Source organism: Homo sapiens, chromosome 21 (genome assembly GCF_000001405.40).
Source record: "Homo sapiens chromosome 21, GRCh38.p14 Primary Assembly".
NCBI lineage: Eukaryota > Metazoa > Chordata > Mammalia > Primates > Hominidae > Homo > Homo sapiens.
In genome coordinates, this window is record NC_000021.9 from 22,510,383 (window position 1) to 22,519,854 (window position 9,472).

The 9,472-nt window shown below is 33.7% G+C and overlaps 1 annotated feature.

The window, feature by feature from the left end:
- Positions 5,875 to 6,075: a silencer, noted in NCBI's record as "peak4381 fragment used in MPRA reporter construct". NCBI's record gives its function as "represses an SCP1 promoter by STARR-seq MPRAs in K562 erythroleukemia cells {active_cell/tissue: K562}" and the evidence as "EXISTENCE:reporter gene assay evidence [ECO:0000049][PMID:32103011]".

Consider the following 9,472-nt stretch of genomic DNA (forward strand, 5'->3'; position numbering starts at 1 on the left):
AGTTTGTTTTGTTTTGCTTTGTTTTTTCATAGTTCATCATATGATCTATTTCAACAAGAGAAGGAAGTTTTCTGCACATTTTAGATGTTCGTATTCTAAACATGTATAAAATGTAAATTGATTAATCATGCATTCAAAGTACAGATATCATGAATGTTTTTTCTGCATGCCTTATCTTTCACTAAAGGAATTTATTTCAATCTTCAGTTATGTTTGTTGATTTTTATATTACTCTTTTGAATTCCATTACTATTTTTGTTTTAAGTATTATAGACTTTAAAACTATGTTATAAGAAGCATAGGCCGGGCGCATTGGCTCACGCCTGGAATCCCAGCATTTTGGGAGACGGAAGCAGGCGGATCACAAGGTCAGGAGATTGAGAACATCCTGGCCATCATGGTGAAACCCCGTCTCTACTAAAAATACAAAAACTAGCAGGATGTGGTGGTGCATGCCTGTAATCCCAGCTACTCCGGAGGCTGAGGCAGGAGAATCACTTGAACCAGGGAGTTGGAGGTTGCAGTGAGCTGAGATCTCACCACTATACTCCCAGCCTGGTGACAGAGGGAGACTCCGTCTCAAAAAAAAAAAAAAAAAAAAAAAAGTTTTTAGAAATGCCCTGAGCTCCTATTGATTGAACCTTAAATCATTATCTCTTGTCCTTTAAATAATATATTTGGTCTTGGGACTTACGTGTTTTGTTATTAATAGAGGGATACAACCCTTCCATTCATTAGTGTTCACAATATAAAACTTTATGAAATATAACATTTTTCTTCCTTCTAGTTTTAATCTATGTTCTTACAGTGTCTCTCATGACCATGGCAATCACATGAATTTTCTTTGTCACATTTAGAAATCTTTGTCTTATAAAAAAGATGTCTATCTTTGGATAATTTTAGACATACAGAAGAGATAGACATTAACAGGGCTGCTGGGCTGGGTGCGGTGGCTCACTCCTGTAATCCCAGCACTTTGGGAGGCAGAGGTGGGTGGATCACCTGAGGTCAGGAGTTCAAGACCAGCCTGGCCAACATGAGGAAACCCCATCTCTACTAAAAATACAAAAAATTAGCTCGGCGTGGTGGCAGGCGTCTGTAATCCCAAATACTTGGGAGGCTGAGCCAGGAGAATCACTTGAACCCGGGAGGTGGAGGTTGCGGTGATCCGAAATCAGGCCATTGCACGCCAGCCTGGGCAACAAGAGTGAAACTCCGTCTCAAAAAAAAAAAAAAAGAGGGTTGTTGTTTACCTTCATCCATTTTCGCCATATATTTACATTGTACACTAATCCAAGAAAATGGCTGTAGATCCAGCTCTCTAAGAAAACTCTCTTCCTTATCTAGAACTTTAGTTTATTTACACCTTGTTTTTTGCACACTCCTCAAATGTTTTAAAGAGTATGACCACATTTCAATATTTCCATTTATTTCTCATTATTGAAGTAAAAACACTAGCCTGGTGCTACCTACAACACTCTATCAGGAAACAAAGTTTATTCAAATTTAAATTGTATGACATTCAGTACTTTCTATATATTGTCTGATAACTATTTCTATATTATCTGTTAATCTGATAACAGTGTATGTGAAGACATCTTAGATTCTTGTGATATATTTTACAAGATAACACATAAAAATTCAAAGTTAAGTAGAATATTTTAAAGGATTACTATCAGTTTTCAGAAAGACACCTACTAACATTTCATTTTTGTATGTTGAATCATTATTACTATTATTATTCAGAAAGACACCTATTAACATTTCACTTTTGTGTATCGAAGGATTATTTGTAGTGTGCTAGTAGATTTGCACATGCTTTTCTCAGTCCTTTATTAAATTTCCCTAGAAATCAATGCTTAGATAAGAGTGAGAATGACAGAGATAGAAGTACTTTTGTAACCAGTAAACCAACCATCTTCAAATGGTTTGATAGCAATCATAAGTAGGAACAGATTATTCTTAATTTAATAAGATTCCTGGGACATTAGGAATATCCTACATATGCCCAATCTCTCCCATGTGTTTTTCACTTTCTGCAAGATATGTGAAATTTTGTAGGAAAAGCCTGCCCATTTAGAATCCATATTTTATGGTTTTGAAATGTATAGACAACATAAAATAGAAAATTATTAAATGGTTACTAAAGTAATTTAGTTTGTGGGGACAAGATGAAAGGTAAATAATTGTGTGCTGGAAAGGGGAAGGAGGGAAAGTTTGAAAACAAGGGAAAAGGACAATTAATAAAAGAGGCTGCAGATCCTAAAGAAGACCCTCTTTGTTGTCCAAAGTGATATCAACCTGAGTTGTCTTAGCAAATTCATCTCTCACTAGCTAAATTTCCAAACAGTTGTACAATAAATTTCCTGAGATGATAGATACAAAATACTAACAATAAATCTAAATAATGGAGATAGACTTTTCTGCCAATGATCTTAGAATAAAGTGAAAAAATTAGAAAAAGAACAAAAAATTTCTCGCAAAACTAATGAAGTGTTGTGCTGGAATAAGTGAATTCATTGAAATGAAGTAGCATTAAACACAAACAAGGAAGGAGGAGTAAGAAGAAATTAATAGAGAAAAATATTCCTGACCTTGAAATTTTAGATAATTCTTTTTATCTTGAGATCATCCTTTATAATTCTACTTATTTTTCTAAAGTGGTATGCTGCTATCATTATTAATTATTCTAATAAAATTTTTTAAAAGTTTATAATTTTTATTTTATTTGTAAGGATTTTTGCATGGGGACAAGATTTTACTTTACTTTTTATAATTTTTTAATGGAACATATGTTCCTATGAACAGATTTAGTAGCTAAATCATTGTCACTTTAAAATTACAAAAGATGACTTTTGATACTTTTAAATGCCAATTACTAAGTCATTTGCTTTCTCAGCAGGCTTTCTTTTCCTTTTTTGTTAAATCTCAACTAATTATGACACACTGTGATCTTCTCACTAACACTTTAGAGACATATCATTAGCACATTATTTATTGCTTTTTATCTAATTGCCTCTTGGAAAAGATGAACACTCTACTATATATTCTGCTGTAGCAACCAAAGATTGTTAAGCATGCATCTTTTGACTTATTTTAGGATATTAATTTATCTGGGGGGCAAACACTATATCAAATTTGTTATGTATCTATATGAAACTTATGACTTGAGGCATTCTGGGATATACTTTTAAAATGTATACATATACACAAAAATGTATATAATGTAATATATATTTTACATATTCTCCTTTAATGAATTATCTTTATATATATACACACACATAAACAAACACATATACTTTATAATGAATCATTTTAATAAATAAATGTATATGGCTTCGTTTTACAAAAAATATTCCTAAGAAAATGGAAAGTTTCGGGAAAATTTGAATGACTTTTATAAACACTTGTCTGTCTTCGTTATAAATACAGCATGCCTTTAATTTTATAGAAAATAAGATGCCATAAAGTCCAATTTTACTTAAATTTAAGGGCATATATAGAACTAACTTTTAACTTAATATTGTATAATAAAGCATGAAGACAGTAGAATTTTTTTTTTTTTTTTTTTTTTTTTTTTTTTTTTTTTTTTTAGACAAGATCTGGCTTTGTTGCCCAGGCTGTAGTGCAGTGGTGCAGTCTCAGCTCACTGCAGCCTGAACCTACCAGGCTCGAGCAATCTTCCCACCTCAGCCTCCCGAGTAGCTGGCACCACAGGCGTCTGTCGCCACACCCAGCTATTTTTTTCATTTTTTGTAGAGATGAGGTCTCCCTATGTTACCCTGGCTGATCTGGAACTCTTGGGCTCAAGTGATCTTCTCACCCTCGCCTTGCAAAGTGCTGGGATTAGAGGCGTGAGCCACCACATCTGGCCTGACAATATAATTGTTTTATGTATCTAGCATTAATACTGAAGACATTTTCCTTACTGTTATGCACACTTTCACAGTAGCATTTTTTGTTAACAAAATAACAATAATAATTTGCTAATTTTCATTAGAAAAACACATTTAAACTTGCCTTTGATAAGTTTTGCAATGAACATTTACGTCAACGTTAGAATACAAGAAGAAATAACTGAAAGATGATTGGTGTTTTCATTTAAAGGATTTTTGTTTGTTTGTCTGTTTGTTTTGAGACGGAGTCTCGCACTGTCGCCCAGGCTGGATGGAGTGCAATGGCGTGATCTCAGCTCATTGCAACCTCCGCATCCCAGGTTCACGTGATTCTCCTGCCTCAGCCTCCCGAGCAGCTGGGATAACAGGCACATACCACCACACCTGGTTAATTTTTTGTACTTTTAGTAGAGATGGGGTTTCAATATGTTGGCCAGACTGGTCTCAAACTCCTGACCTTGTGATCTGCCTGCCTTGGCCTCCCAAAGTGCTGTGATTACAGGTGTGAGCCACCACACCCGGCCCATTTAAAGAATGTTTTAAAAGAGTGGACTTCATATAGAATACATTTGGTTTATATAAAGGGGGTATTTTTTATTATTCTTTCTTGTAAAATATTAAAAAATCTGTTAAAATAGATTGACTTCTGTTCATTTTCTTGATATCAACAATTTACATGGAATAGAAAGAGATAAGAAAGAACAAAAATTAAAAGTGAGGTCATTTAAAAATGTCAAAAATTAAGAAAAATGTTAAAAAATAAAAATTTTACTGAATATTGTTTTTAAGTAGCAAATATTTTCTAAGAAAAAAAACTTTGTTCTGGAAGAACTACAATTTCCCCTAAAGCTTTATAAGTTCAAAGTTGGGACAGACTTTTTAAGGAAAAGAAAGATTAACAAGAGAAAAAGAGGGAAATGTATTAATATGTGTAGAGTACATCGTAAGAGAGAAGATGCAATAAAAGGCAACAGAGTAGTGGCTTATAATGCTGCTTTATATATCATTTTTCATAAAGTGCAATAGAATTTAGAGAAGTGATAAGACAAAGGAAAGCAATTTTGGGCTTCTTGAGGTGGAAAATTATGGAAAGGTAAATACAGGGGAGTAAACTAACAGAATAAGATTTGTTTGAAGATTCCTCTAGTGCTGTCTGTGAGCTGCTAAGACTTGTTTCCAGTACAGTAAATAATTTATTTCTGTTGGTGAAAAAGGCAGGAAAGACAAAAAGAGCTCTTCCTGTCTTTGCTTCAGTGTTTCTAAATTGCTTTGTGCTAAAACAAAATGTATGTGAAAGAGGTATATTTTGGGGTCACATGTTTTGGTTTTCTTCACCTTCAACTAAGTGAAATAGGGGACTTCATTTCTGTTACATAATATTATTTCCATCATTTCTATTACATAATAGCTCCTTGGGATCATACAAATTATTCATCTTTGTTTTCTTGCAGCAATTACATTACTGTCCTATTCAAGCTTAAATTTTCATATGACATTACTTAGATAAAAATGATGTGTATGTGTGTGAGAGAAGAGAAAAAAATAAAGAGGATACATTTTGGGGTAAAACCTTATATTTCTCTATTTGTGACTCAAGGAAAAAAATAACTGAGTAGGAGGGATTTTAAGAATTACCTAATTAAATATATATTAGATTATTTCATCTTTAAAATGCTTTTTGTGATTTTCTAAGTTGGATAATATAAGAAAAACAAAGAGAGATGACAGAGATATTTCAATGCCAAATATCATCTTCCTCACCTTAGAAAATTTAGGCTATTTTTATTTGAGGATTTGGTCACTAAAATATTTTGAATTGAAATTTTATAAGAGATTTCAGAAAAGTATGTTATTAAGACATGGCGAGAAAAATATTGTTTCCCAAATCTGTACATTATGAGAAAATTTAGGTCTGTGGAAGATAAAAAATTTTACTTTCATAACCTTGAAGAATATTATACAGTGAGGGGTTAACTCTCTGGTAATGACAGAGGAAAGAGTTAGAGGCTGGCTAGGCAGATAGAGAGGGATGGCCTCGGGAGACCAATAACGCCTGTGGGAACACACTCGCACTGCCCCTGTTATGCAACTGGCAGATAGAAATGTGGTTAAGAACTTCCTCTTATACCAGGATATTTGCTCAGAAGGGACTGTCCTGACTTAGGTGCAAGTGCAATAAATCAACTAAATGTCCTTAACCTGACCCAAGCTCATTATAATATCATTAACATGACATCTGCATTGCTGTTTGCCCCCACCTCTCTGACTGGGCTTTTCTGTGGTGCTTATGGGTAATAATTAAGATGAAGTAACTATGGACAAGAATGCACCTGTGCAGACCAGGAAGTAACTAGGAAGTAGAGGGTTGTGTAAGATGCAAATGAGAAAGATGCCCCTAGAAAGGAGGTATAAAAACCACTGGGGACAAGTTTGTTGTTGGCAACCCATTTTAGGGTCCCTTCTCTTTACTGAGAACTTTCTGCTGCTTAATAAAACTCTGTTCTGCCTTACCAACCCTCTTGTGTCCAAGTACCCCATTCCTCAAGGTCGTGAGACAAGAACTCAGACCTTGCTGAACTAAGGAGTAAGGAAACGGCAACAGTAAGAAGTAACCTAATAATAAAGTTCAGCTCCCCACAAAATATTGAAGGTGGTTATTTGACACCTTGCTTGTTTAAGTGTTGAGATCCTAATATACACTTCTTGTTCCCATATAGAACAAGCAAACCAAACAGAATAAGAAGACAAAAATAACCAATACTTGCTGGAAATGAGACTATGCTCCCAGAGAAAGAATGTTCAGATAGTGAGATCTCTCTTTGGAATTTTAGAGTTAGAAGATTGGGTGATGGAAACAATTTTAGCATGATTGCCTTCAAAAAATGGGTATTTAAAAATTTTATTCATCTTTATTTTATATTGTGTGGGGTTAATGACCGCTTTATCTGGTTGAATCATTTTGGTAGACAAAAAAATTTATAATTTTTTTGTGAATAAATTAATATAGCTCATAAAAATTTTAAAAAATGCATTTGTAAATATCCCATCTCAAAAGAGCCGATAAATATCTACTGTCAACTGTGCTTGGTAGGGGTATGATTAAGAATTATCATCTTGTTTTTTCAGTTTTTTAATTAACTAATATCTGTTAGAAAATAGAAAACCATATTTCAGCAGTCATATAACTATATGAATCTCCTTTTTCGTTATCTTTCTCTATCTCTCTATAACATAACAAATAATGTTATTTTCCCAATCACAACTAAAGGAGATTTCTATAAATCTTTTAACCAAGTCTTTTATAACAAAATAGCCGCTTGCATTCTGCCCTTCATTAAAGAGAGGCATTTATGGAGGGATTTTGTCTATATCTTTCCTTTTTAAACCTTAAATCATTAAAACAGACACAATTTTTGTGCCGAGTGATGTTATTAAACAGAAATATAGCTAGAATGGACCACAGACTAGCCAAAGAGGCTTTGAACAATACTCTCAAAGCTTTTCCTGTAAGTGGTCCTTGCATTGTTTCTTCATCTCAAACACTAAGAGAGCACATGAGCAAAACGCATTCGCATTTTGATTCTATAAATTCAAATCAACAATGCAAATCTTTAGTTATTATATTTGCATTAGATCAAAGAGATGATCATGCCTCAACGTACCATGGCATACTATCTTCTACAGTAGTGTATTTTTCAAAAACACTGAGATTGATAGTGTAGATTTTACTTTGACTCAGGTGCGTGTGTGTGTGTGAGAGAGAGAGAGGGAGAGAAAGCAGGAAGGGGCAAAAGAGCAAATGAGGAGAGGGACAGTTTTCATAAGAAGTGATATGAATCTCACTCATTGACATTACTATTCTCTCTGTACCTCTCTCTGGCTGAGGATTGTAGTATCCTTAAACTTTCACACTGTATCTGGCATATTGAAATGTTATTGATTTAGTATATTTTTAAACATGCTATCTTCTGGCCGCGAGTGGTGGCTGACGCCTGGAATCCCAGCACTTTGGGAGGCTGAGGCAGGTAGATCACGAGGTCAGGAGTCCAAGACCAGCCTGGCCAAATGGTGAAACCTCGTCCTACTAAAAACACAAAAATGAGCTGGGTGCGGTGGCAGGCGCCTGTAATCGTAGCTACTTGGGAGGCTGAAGCAGGAGGATCGCTTGAACCTGGGTGATGGAGGTTGCAGTGAGCCAAGATAGTGGTACCACACTCTAGCTGGGTTGCAGAGTGAGACTGTCTCAAAAAAAAAAACAAAACTGTCTTCCTTCCATCACTTTATATATACTATTTTTCAATTGATTCTATAAATTCAGGTCAACAATTATAATTTTAGCTATGTGTAGTTTTATTTATTCTGCAAACAATTATATTTTATATAGGTTAATTGACCACTATAATTCAATATGAAAGATAAATTATGTGTTCTTTTTTGAAATAAAAACAAACAAGGAGTTTACCTTATCTACTTTCTTCACCAAATCTTAAACTGACTTATTGTAACATCTGCGTTTAAACAACTTGTCAACTCACGGGCATCTGTAAAAAGATTGACAATATCAGTAGTGACAGGTTCTGAGGAATCCATATAATATTCTAATAGCCATGTAACACAGAAGTCTAGTGAGCAGCTGGCAAGACGCAACTGTTAAATGTGCATCATCTTGAGGTAGGAAATACAAGATAACAAATCACAGTTGCTAAACAGAAATAAAAACAAAGCCATCACCTGTGTCTCTTCTCAAAGGACAAAACTATTCTTTAATTGCATTATAGAAAAAATTTATTATGCTCAACCTAGGAGATCATGTTGTTAAATAACTTTAACTGTATTCATTGTAAAATAAGTTAATAGAATCTAATTCATTTTACTATTAAAATACATTGATACAAAAGATAATTGCAAATGGTCATTAGTTTTAGATGTGAATAGCTGTGGCTTTTACAATTCATTTATCCAAAAACTATAATCAGTCAATTTTCCATTTTATTTTAACTCAATAGAACAACTATTAAAACAATTTTGGCATCAATTACCTGTATAACCCAGATAAGCCGTATAATAGCGTTGTCGTGTGTTTAAAACCAAGTCACTGAAATTTTTCATATGATAATTTTTGCACACAATAATCATAATTATCATCAAGCATAATGCTGAAATTTGTTTAGGGTAAATCTAGCTAAGGAATAAGTAATTTCAAATTTCTTTAACACAGTTCCTTCAAATAAGGGTACTAATAGAATTTGTTGGAAAAATAAAAGCCTATTTTAAAAATAAAGCATTAATGCTTAAGAAGTCAAATAATCATATTTGTCATAAATAAAAATTACTATATATGAAAAATTACTAGATATACAATTATATATATGCTATATATACAAAAATATACTATATATGAAAAAAGATAAAAATTGGAACTATTACCTGCTAATAAAATTATTTGGTTCAAGCGATTCTCCTGCCTCAGCCTCCTGAGTACCTGGGATTATAGGCATGCACCACCATGCCCAGCTAATTTATTTTTGTATTTTTAGTAGAGATGGGGTTTCACCATATTGGTCAGGCTGGTC